General features: G+C 36.9%; 1 long non-coding RNA gene across 1 annotated transcript; it reads left to right on the forward strand.

The window, feature by feature from the left end:
- The first annotated feature begins 1,163 nt into the window (after positions 1-1,163).
- On the forward strand, positions 1,164-16,042 carry LOC124900869 (uncharacterized). The gene is made up of 2 exons (XR_007058486.1): positions 1,164-1,520; positions 15,129-16,042. It is a non-coding gene; the product is annotated as an uncharacterized LOC124900869 (long non-coding RNA).
- The last annotated feature ends 443 nt before the right edge of the window (positions 16,043-16,485 follow it).

The following is a 16,485-nucleotide window of genomic DNA, read 5'->3' on the forward strand; positions in this document are numbered from 1 at the left end:
AAGTTGGACTTCACCTTTCTCTGGTGCCCCCTTGATTGGCTTAATAGTTGACCTTCCAAATTATTTTTCTGGGAATTCAGAGATTTTGTCTTGGTTTGGATCCATTGCTTGTAAGCTAGTGTGATCTTCTAGGGGTGTTTCAGAACCTTGTTTTGTCATATTACCAAACTTGTTTTTCTGGTTCCTTCTCATTTGGTAGACTGTGTCAGAAGGAAGGTCTGGGACTCAAGGACTGCTGTTCAGATTCTTTTGTTACATGGGGTACTCCCTTGATGTGGTGCTCTACCCTTTCTCCTAGGGATAGGGCTTCCTGAGATCTGAACTGCAGTGATTGTTATTTCTCTTCTGGATCTAGCCACCCAGCAGAGCTACTGGGCTCCAGGCTGGTAATGGGTAGTGTCTGCAAAGAGACCTGTGATGTGATCTGTCTTCAGGTCTCTCAGCCATGGATACCAGCAGCTGCTTCTGTGGAGGTAACAGGGGAAGTTAAGCGAACTTTATGACGGTCCTTGGTTGTATTTTTGTTAAGCACACTGGTTTTCTGTTGGTTGGCCTCCAGCCAGGAGGTGGCGCTTTCAAGATTACATCAGCTGCTGTTGTATAGGGAGGATACAAGCTTGCCCTAGGGTAAGGTGGGGCCACAGAGCTTCCAAGGGATTATGCCCTTCATCTTTGGCTACCAGGTTGGGTAGAGAAAGACCATCAGGTGGCCGGGTGCAGTGGCTCATGCCTGTAATCCCAGCACTTTGAGAAGCCAAGGCTGACGGATCACGAGGTCAGGAGATTGAGACCATCCTGGCTAACACAGTGAAACCCCGTCCCTACTAAAAAAATACAGAAAAAAAAATGAGCCAGGCTCGGTGGTGGGCTCCTGTAGTCCCAGCTACTCGGGAGGCTGAGGCAGGAGAATGGCATGAACCCGGGAGGCAGAGCTTGCAGTGAGCCGAGATCGCGCCACTGCACTCCAGCCTGGGCTATGGAGCAAGACTCCGTCTCAAAAAAAAAAAAAAAAAAAAAAAAAAGACCATCAGGTGATGGCAGAGTTAGGCGTGTCTGAGCTCAGATTCTCCTTTGGTGGGGCTTGAGGTGTCTTCTGTAGGGAATGGGGGTGTGGTTTTCATGCCAATGGAGTTATGTTCCTGGGGGTATTGGCTGCCTTTGCTGCATCACACAGGTTGCCAGGGAAGTGGGGGAAAGCGGCCAGTCACAGAACTCTCCCAGCTCCCACGCAGCCCGCGGCCTGAAAGGCTGGTCTCACTCCCACTGAGTGGCTTGCATATGATCTTATATATACTCTCACTCTCACTCCTGGCTTGTATATGATCTTATACAAGTTAGAAAAGCAAGCTGACTCACAGTTTCTTGGCTCTCCCACAGAGCCTGCAGTGGCTATCCACCTCCTTCAAAGGGTCTGTGGATTCTCTTGGCTTTCCTGGTATGTTCCCGCTATAGTTCTTGGAGCAAAAGTTCACATTGTGGGTCTCCAGAGGCTGCTCTGTTTATCCGAATGGGAGCTGAAAGTTAGTGCTGTTTCCTATCTGCTATTTTCCTGGTATTCTTTTTAAATTTCTTTTTTTAGATAGTTTCGTGTTAGTGTATAAGAATGCAACTCATTTTTTGTATGTTGACTTTTATCCTGCAAGTTTATTGAATTAGTTTATTAGTTCTAACAGTTTTTTTGATGAAGTCTTTTGAGGTTTCTATATATAAGATCATGTCATCTGCAAATATCAACAAGTTCATTTTTTTTCTCATTTGGATGCCTTTTTCTTCCCTTTTGCATAATTTCTCTAAAAGGACTTCCAGTACTATGCTGAGTAAGAGTGATGAAGGTGACCACCCTTGTCTTATTTCTGATTTTAAAGAAAAATTTTCAGCTTTTAATTATTGAGTTTATAACACTGACTCCGAACTTAGAAAATTGACATGCATAACTTTTGTTATGTTGAAGTGTTTCTTCTATTCCTAATTTGTTGAGTTTTACTCACAAAAGGATGTTGAATTTTGTCCAAGACTTTTCTGTGTCTATTGGCATGACCTTTTTATACTTCATTCTGTTAATGTGATGTATCTTGTTTATTGATTGAACCATCCTAGCATCCTAAGGATAAATTCCATGCGATCATGGTGTATGATCCTCCTAATGGGCTTTTGAATTTAGTTTCCTAGTATGTTGTTGAGGTTTTGCATGTGTGTTTATTAGGCCTATAATTTTTTTTTCTGTAGTCTCCTTATTTAGCTTTGGTATAACAGTAATTGGCTTTATCAAATAAGTTTAAATTTTTTGGAAGAGTTGGAGAAGAATTGGCTTTAAATGCTTGATAGAATTAATTAGTGAAGCCATCTAGTCCCGAGCTTTTCTTTGCTGGAAAAGTTTTGATTACAGATTTAATATCTTTGTACTTTATTGGCCTGTTCAGACTTTTTATTTTTACATCATTCAATTTTGGAAGATTGTATGTTTATAGGAATTTATCCATTTCTTCTGGGCTATCTAATATGTTGGAGTATAATTGTTCATAATAGTAATATTTTATGATCCTTTGTATTTCTGTAGTATCCGTTTTAATGTGTCCTCAATTATGGTTTTATTGATTTGACTTGTTTCTCATTTTTTCTTGATTAGCATAGCTAAAAATGTGTCAAATTTGTTTTTCTTTTCTCAAAATCAACTCTCAGTTTTGTTTTGTCTTTCCAGTCTCTATTTCATTTATTTCTGATTGAAGTTTTCTTATTTCTTCTTCCTGCTACCTTTGGGCTTACTTTGTTCTTCTTTTTCTAGTTCCCTGAGGTGCAACATTAGGGTTTTTATTTGACTTTTTTTTTTAATGCAGGTTTTATTGCTGCAGTTTTATTGCTTTTGCTGTATCCAATAAGCTTTCACATTTTTTAAAAATTTTCATTTGTTTCAAGATACATTTTTCTTCAGTTTTAATTTCTTCTTTGACCTATTGATTATTCAGGAATATGTTGTTTAATTTGGACATATTTGAAAATCTTCCTCTGTGTATTTATTCCTGATTTCATACCATTGTGGCTGGAAAGGATATGATGATTTTAATGTTCTACAGTCTTTTAAGACTTGGTTTTTGGCCCAGCAGTTATATTGTAGTACTTATATTTTTGTTGTAGAAAAATACTTGTATAAAAATTAGGAATTCCTTCATCTTAAAATTTTTAAGTTAAATTCAAGTTAATTTTTAAAGTTATATTCAAGAGTCATGTTTGGAATAGTATTCACCAGATATTACATTATTATTGAGAGAGGCAATGTTTTCAATCTTTAATATCTAATTTTTTGATTTTACTTTTTATGAATCATTTTTAATAGGAATCATTTTTACTCTTAGAATGAAAAAATAAGTAATGTTTATTCCTTAAAACCATCTAGCTCAGGTGATTTTGCAAATATAAACTACATTTCTTGCTCTCAAGGGTATACAGAGACAGGGTCAAACAATCAAATAATAAAAATTACACAGAAATATATCTTGTTGTTTTTCTTTAGCTACAAAGAAAGTTATTTTTGAAGACTTTTCTTATGGTAAAATAAAGTGTCCATCATATTTACCATCTGAATCATTTTTAAGTGTAAAGTTCAGTGGCATTAAGTAATATTCACATTGTTGCTCACCATCACTATTTTTTATGCCTAGAACTTTTTTATCGTCTTAAACTTAAGCTTTGTCCTCATGAAGCAGTAACTCCTCATTTATTTATTTCCTCCTCTTCGCCCCTTGTAACCTCTGTTCTACTTTCCGTCTCCATAAATTTGACTTTTCTAGGTACCTCATATAAGTGAAATGCGTCTTGCTTATTTCACCTAGTGCACTGTCCACAAGGTTCATTCAAGTTGTAGCATATATCTAAATTTCATTCCTTTATAAGGTTTATTTATATTCAATTGTGTGCATATATCACTTTTGTTTATCTATTGATGCAGATATCTGTTTTGGTCCTTGCTTTCGATTCTTTTATGGTAAACAATCATCCCTCTGTATCTGTGGGCTCTGCAACTGCGTATTCAACCGACTGCAGATCCAAAATGTTTTTTTAAAAATAAAAACAATAAAAATAAACAATACACCAATAAATAATACAAATTTTAAAAAATACAGTATAATGATTTATATAGCATTTACATTGTATTAGGTAAAAGTAATCTAGAGATGACTTAAGGTATACGGGAGGATGTATATAAATTATATGCACATGTTATGCCATTTCACATAAGGGACTTGAGTATCCACAGATGTTGCTATCCTCGGGGGTTCCTGGAACAAATTCTCTGAGGATATTGAGGGACAACTCTATTTTCAGAAGCAGAATTGCTCCATCCATCATATGGTAATATTATTTAATTTTTTAGGAACTGCCATACAGTTTTCCACAGTAGCTGCACCATTTTACATTTCCCACAGCAATGTACAAGGGGTCCAATTTCTTTACATTTTCAACATTTGTTATTTTCAGTTTTTGGTTTTTTTTTTGAATAATAATAGCCATTTTAATGGGTGTGAATTGATAGCTCATCTTACTGTAGTTTTGATTTGCATTTTCTTTTTTTTTTTGAGACGGAGTCTTGCTCTCTCACCCAGGCTGGAGTGAGTGCAGTAGCTCGATCTCAGCTCACTGCAAGCTCTGCCTCCCGGGTTCACGCCATTCTCCTGCCTCAGCCTCCCGAGTAGCTGGGACTACAGGCGCCCGCCACCACGCCTGGCTAATTTTTTGTATTTTTTTTAGTAGAGACGGGGTTTCACCATGTTAGCCAGGATGGTCTTGATCTCCTGACCTCATGATCTGCCCACCTTGGCCTCCCAAAGTGCTGGGATTACAGGCGTGAGCCACCACACCGGGCTTGATTTGCATTTTCTTAATGATTAGTGATGCTATCTTTTCCTGTGCCTATTTGGGCATTTGCATATGTTCTTTGAGGAAACGTGTATTCAAATCCTTTGCACATTTTAAAAATTGGATTGTTGGCCAGGCTTGGTGGCTCATGGTGGTAATACCAGCACTTTGGGAGGCCGAGACAGGCAGATCACGAGGTCAAGAGATCGAGACCATCCTGGCTAACACGGTGAGACCCCATCTCTACTAAAAATACAAAAAATTAGCCTGGCGTGGTGGCAGGGGCCTGTTGTCCCAGCTACTCGGGAGGATGAGGCAGGAGAATGGCCTCAACCTGGGACACAAAGCTTGCGGTGAGCAGAGATCAGGCCACTGCACTCTAGCCTGGGGGACAGAGTGAGACTCCATCTCAAAAAATAAAAAATAAAAATAAATAAAAATTGGATTGTTTTTTCTTGTTGATACTTTTGCTATATTAAAAAAATATTTGTCCAAGAATCCCTTAAAAATCTTAAAATCTAGTTGTATTATTAACTATATGTTAATATCTAAAGCTAAGTAGAGTAAGAAATTTAAAAGTAGAAATTCACAGAATCCTGTAAGCAAAAAATATGTGATAACTTCTATTTTTTTCCTATGAATGAATTTCTTAATTACCCATTTCTTATAAGATTTTGTGGAAATGAGTAGGGGCTAAAATATGAATGATACTCTTACTGGAATCATTTAAAGCAACAAAATATATATAAATCTAGGCATAAATAAAAGTACATTTTATGGCTATCAATAGAAATTCTAACTACCAGTTATATTAGTTCTCAAAGCTCTTAAGTTTTTAAATTTCAAGAGTGTTAATCTCTCTTGAAATTTTTCTGCAATTATGGAATTATTTTTAAGTTATTTATTTTGGATTTATGTGAAATAATTTAACAATAATCTATTCTTCCTGCTTTCAAATAAATTTATATTCTAACACCTAATTTTGTGAGCATATTAGCTATAAATTCACATGTAAAAAATAAGCCATGTCAAACAATGCAATTTTTACTTATATTCATCTTTTTTATGAAGGACTTCAGTAACAAACTTATTTAGTTCCAATGTCAAATAAAAAAAGGAGATTTAGAGATTCTCCATTACTATCCTTGCTCTTCTATACTATTTCTTCCCACCATATATGTAACCACATTTTAAAGTATTCATCTTATCCATCTTGTTTCTTTTTCTTTCAGTGCTGTGTTCCTATGCCTTGCAATTTTTCTCCATATGTTGTTGGTCTTTATATTTTTATTCTGTATTTTTTATATTAAGAACATTAACACTTTTCTACAATATATGTTGCAATTATATCTAGATTGTTTACTTATCTTTTAAAATATTGCTTATAAAGTAATTTTACTATGGTTGGGATTAATGAGAGATGCTTGGATGCCTTTCTAAGGAACCTAGACTCTTTTCTTTTAAATAGAGGAGTAATTTTTTTGTCTACCCTTCAAAAAATTAAACCTGGCAAGTATGTCAAGGATATAATAGACAGTAGAAAGATTAAAGACAGTTCAATAAAACTCAACTGAGAAAGAAATCTGTTGTGAGCCCGTTCATCACTGCCACATTTGAGAGGCAACATATTAAGGGATCTGTTTCAGTTTTGAAGATAGCCACTTTCGCACTGAACAAGCTTATGCTTTGGGGCAAGTTTTTTTTTTCTTTATATTTATCAACACAAGTTATCTCACTGGAGGCACCTGACAAATTACCACGTTCCATGAGGAATTTTTCAAAGTAGATTGCTATCGCACATAATAAGTTTGGAATATAGCTAACAAATTCACTTTTAAAAATGTAATAATACCATGAAAATTTTCAAAGCCACTAAATACATTAAAAATGGTAAAATGAAGGAATGTTTAATAAAATGTTCGCATTGTAATAAAAGTGCTGATTTTTTTTAAAGAAGGAATTTTAAAGTATTGTAGAGGAAGTCTAGAATAATTTTGCCATTCAAAAATGATGACTTTCTTTGGTTGTTGTTTGCCTCCTCCTCTTCCTCCTCCTCCTCCTCCTTCTGACTGAGTCTTGCTCTATTGCCCAGGCTGGAGTGCAGTGGTGCACTCTACTGCTCACTCCAATCTCCGCTCACTGCAACCTCCGCCTCCCGGGTTCGAGCAATTCTCACGCCTCAGCCTCCCGAGTAGCTGGGAATACAGGCATCTGCCACCATGCCCAGCTATTTTTTGTATTTTTAGTAGAGAGTGGGTTTCATTATGTTGGCCAGGCTAGTGGCAAACTCCTGACCTCAAGTGATCCACCCACCTCCCCCTCCAAAAGTGCTGGCATTATAGGGGTGAGCCACGTGCCCGGCCATTTTTTCTTTATGTTTTCTATTCTTTTTACTTGTCATCAAAATTTAAAACTATTTTTTAAGTTTTATTTTAAATACAAGGGGTAAATATGCAGGTTTCTTACATGGAAATATTGCATAATGCTAAGGTTTGGGGTATGAATCCCGTTACCCAGGCAGAGGGCATAGTACCTGATAGGTAATTCTTCAACCTGTGGCCACCTCACTCTCTCCCGCCTCTTGTAGTCTACAGTATCTGTTGTTCATATATATATATGCCCATATTTGCTCAATGTTAGCTGCCACTTATAAATGAAAACGTGGTATTTGAGTTTCTGTTCCTGTGTTAATTTGCTCAATTATGGCCACCAACTGCATCCATGTTGTTGTAAAATACATGATTTCATTCTTTTTACTGATGTGTAGTATTCCATGGTGTATTTGTACCACATTTTCTTTACCCAGTCTACCACAGATGGGCACCTGGGTTGATTCCATGTCTTTGTTATTGTGAATAGTGTAACAATGAACATATAAGTTAATGTGTCTTTTTGGTAGAATGATTTGTTTTCCCTTGGGTATGCATCCACTAATGAGATTGCTGGGTCAAATGGCAACACTATCTTAAATTCTTTGAAAAATCTCCATACTGCTTTCCACGGTGGCTGAACTAATTTACATCCCCACTATGAGCGTATAAGGATTTCCTTTCCTCCACAGCCTCATCAGCATCTGTTGTTTTCTGAGTTTTTAATAATAGCCATTCTAACTGGTGTGAGATGGTATCCTCTTCAAGTTTGGATTTGCATTTCTCTAATGATCAATGATGCTGAGCATTATTTATATGTTTGTTGGCTGCTTGTATGTCTTCTTTTGGAGAGTGTCTGTTCATGTTCTTTGCCCATTCTTTTAAATGAGGTTATTCTTTTTTTTATTGTTGATTTGTTTAAGTTCCCTGTGGATTCTGGATATTGGACCTTTGTCAGATGCACAGTTGGTGAATATTTTCTCCCATTCTGTAGGTTGTCTGTTTACTTTGTTGATGGTTTATTTTGCTGTGTAGAAGCTCTTTTGTTTAATTAGGTCCAATTTGTCTGATTTTGTTTTCATTGTGTTGCTTTTGAGGACATAGGCAAAAATTCTTTGCCAAGGCCAGTGTTGAAAAGAGTATTTCCTAAGTTGTCTTCTAGAATTTTTATAGGTTGAAGTCTTACATTTAAATTGGATCCATTTTGAGTTAGTTTTTGTATATAGTGAAAGATAGGGTTCCAGCTTCAGTCTTCTGAATATGGCTAGCCTGTTATCCCAGAATCATTTATTGAGTAGGTAGTCCGTTTCCATTGCTTGTTTTGGTCAGCCTTGACAAAAATCAGATAGTTGTAGGTGTGTGGCTTTATTTCTGAGTTTTCTAATCTGTATCATTGGTCCATGTCTCTGTTTTTGTACCAGTACCATGTTGTTTGGGTTACTGTAGCTTTATAGTGTAGTTTAAAGTAGGGTAGTGTGATACCTCTGGTTTTGATCATTTTGCTTAGGGTTGCTTTGGCTATTTGGCTATTTTTTTTGTTTCAATTGACTTTGAGAATAGTTTTGCCTAATTCTGTGAAAAATTACATTGGTAGGTTGATAGGAATAGTGTTGAATCTTCAGATTGCTCTGGGCAGTATGGCCATTTTTACAATATTGATTCTTCCACTCCATGAGCATAAAATATTTTTCCATTTATTTGTGTGGTCTCTAATTTCTTTTAGCAGTGTTTTCTAGTTCTTCTTGTACAGATCTTTCACCTCCTTGATTAGCTGTACTCCTAGGTATTTCATTTTCCTTGTGGCTATTGTAAGTGGGATTTTTTCACTCTCCTGAACATTGTTGTTGTAAAGAAATGCTAATGAATTTTGTACGTTGATTTTGTATTTGGAAACTTTACTAAAGTCAGTTATTAGTTCTAGTTCTAGAAGACTTCTGGCAGGGTCTTTAAGATTTTCTAGGTATTGAAACAAATCAGTGAAGAGAGATTAATTTATTCTTTTCCTATTTGGATTTTTTAAAATTTGTTTCTCTTGCCTGATTGCTCTGACTAGGTATTCCAGTACTATTAATAGGAGTGGTGTGAGTGGGCATGCATGTCTTGTTTCAGTTCTCAAAGGGAGTAGTTAGAGCTTTTGCCCATTCCGTAGATGTTGGCTGTGGGTTTGTCATAGATGGTTCTTATTATTTGAGGTATGTTCCTTCAGTGCCTAGTCTGATGAGAGCCTTTATCATGAAGGAAATTTATTTTTATTGAAATCGTTTTCTGCATCTATTGAGATAATCATATGGTTTTTACTTGTAATTCTGTTTATGTGATGTACCACATTTACTGATTTGTCTATGATGAAATAGGCTTGCATACCAGGAATAAAGCCTACTTGATTGTAGCGAATTCACTTTTTGATGTGCTGCTGAACTTGGTTTGCTAATATTTTATTGAAGATTTTCGTGTCTATTGTGTATATATTTATCAAAGATACGGGCCTGAAGTTTTCTTTGTTCATTGTGTCTCTGCCAGATTTTGGTACAGGCTGATGCTGGCTCATAGAATGATTTAGGGAGGAGCCCATCCTCCCCGATATTTTGGAAGAGTTTCAGTAGGATTGGTATCAATTATTTGTATGTCTGGTAGAATTCAGCTGTGAATCCATCTGGTCCAGAGCTCTTGTGGTTGTTAAGATCTTTATTACTGATTCAATTTTAGAACTTAATATTGTTCTAGTCTGGGTTTCATTCTCTTCATGATTCAATCTTGGGAGATTTTGTGCTTTCAGGAATTTCTCTAGACTTTCTAATTTGTATGAATAGAGTCATTCATAGTAGTCTCTGAGGTTCTTTTGTATTTCTATGTGGTTGGTTGTAATACCACCTTTGTCATTTCCTATTGCGTTTATTTGGGTCTTGCCTTTCTTTTTCTTTGTTAATCTAGCTGTGGGGGGGGGGGTCTATAAATTTTATTTAGTCTTTTGAAGAACAAACACTTGCTTTCATTGATCTTCTGTATGAATTTTTACATTTTAATTTTATTCAACCTTTCTCTAATTTTAGTTATTTCTTTTCTTCTGCCAGCTTTGAGGTTGTTTTTTTTTTCTAGTTTCTTTAGGATAGAAACTAGAAAAAAGTTAGAATGTTAATTTGAGGTCTATCTAATTTCTTGGTGAAGGTGTTTATCACTATGAACTTTCCTTTTAATACTGCTTTAGCTGTATCCCAGATATTTTGATAAGTTATGCCCCTATTTTTATTAATTTCAAAGATTTTTTTGATTTCTGCCTTAATTTCAAAGTTTATCCAAGAGTTATTCAGGATAAGTTGTTTAATTTCTATATATCTGTGTAGTTTTAAGATATCTTCTTAATACTGATTTCCATTTTTATTGCACTATGGTCAAACATCTGCTTGGTATTATTTTGATTTTTTTGAATTATTGAAACTTGTTTATGATCTAGCATGTGGTCTTTCTTGGACTATGTTCTATATTTTATTCAGAAGAATGTATATTCTATGGTTATGGGGTGAAATATTTTGTAGATGTCTGTTGGGTCCATTGGTCAAGTGTTGAGTTAAATCCAGAGTTTCTTTGTAAGTTTTCTGCCACAATGATCTGTCTAACGCTGTCAGTGGATTTTTGAAGTTTCCCACCATTTTTGTGTGGTTGTCTGAGTCTTCATGTAGGTCAGGAAGAACTTGTTTTATGAATCTGGGTGCTCCAATGCTGGGTGTGCAGACATTTAGGATAGTTAGTTCTTGTTGGATTATACCCTTTATCATTATGTAATGTCCTTCTTTATGCTTCTTAATTGTAAAAAGTTTAAAGTCTGTTTTATCTAATATAAAACATAGCAATTCCTGCTTTTTAAAATTTTCTGTTTGCAGGGCAGATATTTATTCAACTTTTTATTTTGAGCCTGCGGATGTCATTATGTGTGAGATGGGTCTCTTAAAGACAGTACACTATTGATTCTCATCTTTTTATCCAGATTGCCATTTCATATGTGTTTTAAGTGGGGCGTTTAGCTCATTTACATTAAGGGTTAGTGTTGATATGTGATATTTTTACCTTGTCATCATGCTGTTATATGGTTGTTATGTAGACTTAATTGTGTAGTTGCTTTATAGTGTTTGTGGGATATGTGCTTAAGTGACTATTTGTGGTAGCAAGTGTCATTCTTTTGATTCCAAGTTTAGCACTCCCTTAAGGACCTCTCATAAGTGTGGTCTAGTTGAAATGAATTCCCTTAGCATTTGCTTGTCTGATAAGGATTTTATTTCCCTTCACTTTTGAAGCTTAGTTTAATGAGGTATTAAATTCTTAGTTGGCATGTGTTTTCTTTAAACATACTGAAAATAGGCCCCAATCACTTCTAGCTTGTAAAGTTTCTGCTGAGAGATCTATTGGCAGCCTGATGGGGGTCCCTGTGTATGTGACCTGACCTTTGTCTTTAGGTGACCTTAAGATTTTTTCTTTTGTGTTGAACATGGTCAATCTGACAATTATGTGTCTTGGGGAGGGTCATCTTTTATAGTATATATCCGGGGTTCTCTATATTTGTTGAATTTGCAATCTACCTCTCTAGTGAGATTAGGGAAAATTTCATCAACTATAAACTCAGATATATTTTCCAAGTTGCTTATTCTCTCTCCTTTTCTCTCAGGGATGCACACGAGTCATAGATTTGGCCTCTTTAAATAATGACATGTTTCTTGGAGGTTTTGTTCATTTTATAAAATTCTTTTTCTTTATTTTTGTCTGAGTTAATTTGAAGAACCAGTTTTGAGCTCTGAAATTATTTCTTCAGCTTGATGCATTCTGCTCTTAATACTTCTGTTTGCATTATGAAATTCTTGTATTGAATTTTCAACTCAAGAAATTCAGTTTAGGCCTTTCTTAAAATTACTATTTTGTCTTTCAGCTCTTGAATCATTTTACTGGATTGCTCGGCTTCCTAGGATTTGGTTTCCACTTCCTCCCAAATCTTGATGAGCTTCCTTGCTATCCAGATTCTGAATTCCATATCTGTCATTTCCGCCATTTCAGATTGGTTAAGAACCATTGCTGAAGTCCTACTAAGCTTGTTTGGATGTAAGGGGACATTCTGGCTTTTTGAATTGCCAGAATTCTTACACCGATTATTTCTCATTTGGGAGGGTTGGTGTTGCTTTAACTGTAGGTAAATTGAGTATAGTCAGTTTATTTTACTTCTGAAAGTTTTTATAATGCTCTGTACAGGGTCTTTGTTGTTGAATTCTTGCCCTCGGCTTCCCAAGAGAGAGAAGCAGCTGCTTTTTGCTGTTGTAGTTTGGACTGTGATCCAGTAGATAGCGCTTGTGAGCAATGAGTAGTAGATAGGCTCTTACTCTGTTGCACGAGCCTTTTGTGCATCTTCTGGTTTGCAGCTGTGCTCTGTATTGTGAGCAGGAGAGATGTGACTTTCTCACCGGCTACACTCCTGGGTCACTTCCGATCACTGGCACTGTGTCTGACTTTTTGTTGTTGTTGTTGTTGTTGTTAGGCGTTTCAGAGTGGGGGCTCCCTTAGGTAGAGGTTTTTCAGGGAGACAGGTCACACTCTTACTAGACCAGCCCTGTGGAGGGAGGCACAACCAGGTCCCACAACAGCCTGCAACCTGTGGAACTCACCTCTCTTAGTTTTATGGGGGTGTGGCCTCCTTCCTCCCTCAAGTGCTGGGCAGCGATCCCAACTTAGTATTCCTGAATCACGAGCCAGAGCTCTTAGGCACCAGGACCTGCTCTCAGCTCCCTGCTCCAGATACTTAGGGTTGAGTTCTGGATGTGCTGGAGGATCTGAAAGGCTCCTGGTCTGCTAGGTTGCACTCAGATGGAGCAAAGCATCAGTACCGGGTAGTGGGGGCTGCATTGTGTACATGTTCTTGCAGAGTGGCCAAGCAGGAGCCTGGGAGAGGCTGGCAGGTAAGTAGGCCTATAGGACAGATGTACCCCAACCCTGCAGGGAAGCCAGCCCTGTTTCTTCCAGTTCATCTATTAGCTGGTGCCAAAGTCGCTCAGAGGAAGATGGGGAGCCCTGGGGGATGGCACTTATGGCTGGGTTCCATAGAAGCTGTCCTATGCACAAAGATCACTCCATACCTGCTGAAGCCTTATCTCCACCTAATCTCTGGAACCAGGATACCAGAGGTCTATGGAGAGAGTGGGCAGTCCCCCAGTTCCTTCACTCACCCCTTCTCCAGGACCCATTCAGGGCCAGTAGCCAGCCCTTCCATTTGGGTACCCGACAGGGGTTCCCAGCTTCCTTCCTCTTCAGGCTTGGTGTGTGCATCCTTTTTCCATCCACATTCAGCATTTTCTCTCTGAAAATGTGTTAAAATTATGTTGGTTTAGTCAAAATTCCGGTCCCTCTCCGTGGGAGTGGCACTTCCTGGTTGCATCTAGTCATCCATCTTTCAGAAAACCCTCTTTCATTACTTTTATTTTTTTCTTTTATTTTCTTTCTCCTTTTCTCTCTTCTTTCTTTCTCTTTCCCTTATCTATCATCTATCTTTCTCTCTTTCTCTCTCTTTCTTCCTCCTTCCTTCCTTTCTTCCTCCTACCCTTTATTTTAGTTCCGTGAAACCTCACTCTTCCTTTATTTTTTTTTTTAGGATTTTGAGTCATAGAAAAGTTTTTCAGTCTTCTGTTCTACAGAGGAATTCACCAAAGTTTCCTTTTGATATTATATGGAGTCATTTTATTTTATTATATCAGATACATCTGAATTTTATACTTGGAAGATGTTTGGTGTAATCGAGTTGCCACTGAGTGGCTGTTTGTTTATTATAATGTCTTGGACCTTCATCAAACTCTTTGATCCATACAACTTAATAATTTTGGAATTTCGTAGAAACAGCTGCTTTAAAATATTTTGTGAAAAGAAGTACATGTTGCCACTGTGACTTTCCTAATCATGGGCCTATTGTGCAGTACTGGGGTTGCTGACGATAGAGGGTGACTTACCATCACTGGATAACTGTCTCCTCTGTAATGAATGATCTCAGGTGGAAATTGACGTAAGGTACAACATCTGAGCACTTTGAGCCAAAATACCTCTTCCGTCAAACTGCTTGTCTCGAATCTTTTAATCTATACCAGTGACCAATCAATCATTTACTATTTACCACTGACCAAGAGTCTATATCTTTATTTCAGACCATCCCTCTATATACAATGTAAATGCCGAAGTGCACTACTTATAAATCTGTGTACAGGAAGGATTTGTTCCTTCATTATTTTTCTTTACAGTCACCCCTAAGTGCCACTTAATGCAGCTCCAGTATTTTTTGGTCCCATTAACACATTAAGCTGAACCACCTGCGAACCTGGTCCCAGTTTTCTTTCTCTTTCTTCAACTCATCATAAAGAAAGTTTATGAAGCTATTAGATGCTAAATTTAGAGAGGAGTCAGTGTTAAAGTGAGAAGTGGCATAGGATTCTAGCCACCTATTTGCATAAATTAATTCTGTCCTCTGGACTTACTTGGTGTGATCCCAAAATGTTATTTTCATAGTGTGATAGATTGATGCTGTACCTGTCTCACCTTGTGATATGGTGTATCTGAGAGATCTGAGCTTATGAGAACAGGTGCAGTCACCTAACCTTGTGGTTTATGCTACAAAGAAGAGCCTTGTTCCAAAGCACTGGGGGTATGTATTGTGAATTGCATAAATGGGCTTGCCCTTTACACAGAGCTGTTATGCATCTCAAGACAAGTTCATTACATATGATACATCCACTCCCTGAAATAACACTGTTTGCAACAAAGCTTTTCACCTTCTTGGTAAGAAACATATTTAAAGAAGTATGCTTCTAGATAGACTAGAGAAGTTTTCCTGAATTATCCTATCCAGAATGTTTTCCAGATATTTTAATTTTTCTTCTTTTTCTCCCTCAGGAATGCCTGTTACTATGCATCTAACAAAGGACTAAAATCCAGAATCTACAAGGAACTAAACTCAACAAGAAAAAATAATCTCATTAACAAGTGGGGAAAAGATAGGAACAGACATTTCTCAAAAGAAGATATACAAGAGGACAAGAAACATAAAATAAAATGCTCAATATCACTAACCGTCAGTGAAATGCAAGTTAAAACCACAATGAGATGCCACATCACACCGGTCGGAATGGCCATTATTAAAAAGTCAAAAAACCACAGATGTCGACAAAGATGCAGAGAAAAGGGAGCACTTATACACCGTTGGTGCGAATATGAATTAGTACAACCTCTATGGACAACAGTATAGAGATTTCTCAAAGAAGTAAAAATAGAACCACCATTAGGCCCAGCAATCCCACTACTGGGTATCTACCCAAAGAAAGAGAAATTGTTATATATATATATCTGCACTCATATGTTTATCACTGCACTAGTCGCAGTAACAAAGTCATGGAATGAACCTAAGTTTCCATCAAAAGATGATTGGATAAAGAAAATGTGGAATACCATGAAATACTACACATCCGTAGAAAAAAAATTATGTCTTCTGCAGCAACATGGATGTAACTGGAGGTCAAAATACTCAGAAACACAACATCAAATACCACATGTTCTCACTTATAAATGGGAGACATGTACAAACAGAGAAAAATAGTCAAGGCTGGGGACTTTAAAAGAGGGGCTTGGGAGGGACTTGAGAGTTGAAAAATTACCTACTGGATACAATGTTCATTATTCAGGTAATAGGAACATTAGAAGCCCAAATCTCAGCTTTCCACAATATATCCATGTGACAAATCTGCATATATACCCACTGAATCTATAAAAATAAAATGAATAAATTTTAAAAAGCATGTTTCAACACTTCATAGAAACTCTACAGTTTGGTTATTAACATAGAATCTTCTAGGTCTCATGGTCAAGTAGCAACAGAGCTAAATCTATTCCTAAGAGTTCTTTTTCTATGAACCTCAAAACTGACAGCCTTAAGAATTATCTAACTAATAGGCTAAAACAATATTCTTAAACATGATATATTCTTCCTCCAAAATCCAAGAAGTTCCACACAAGACTGTGCCTTTTTGTTGGAGGTAGTAGGTACAAAGAAAAATAACTTGACCTTGAGTTTAGAGTACATATTCTGATGTGGACTAGATCATTAAATCACTAAAGTAATAACCAATATGGCAGTGTAATTATGATTATAGGTTTTATCTCTGACTCTTGGCAGCCATGTTTGCTAGGAAATTATTTGCCATGGTCTGCTCACCAAATCCAATTTACACAATATTATTACAATAGAGGGCCACAA

The sequence above is a fragment of the Homo sapiens genome, chromosome 4, assembly GCF_000001405.40.
Source record: "Homo sapiens chromosome 4, GRCh38.p14 Primary Assembly".
In the NCBI taxonomy this organism is placed as follows: Eukaryota; Metazoa; Chordata; class Mammalia; order Primates; family Hominidae; genus Homo; species Homo sapiens.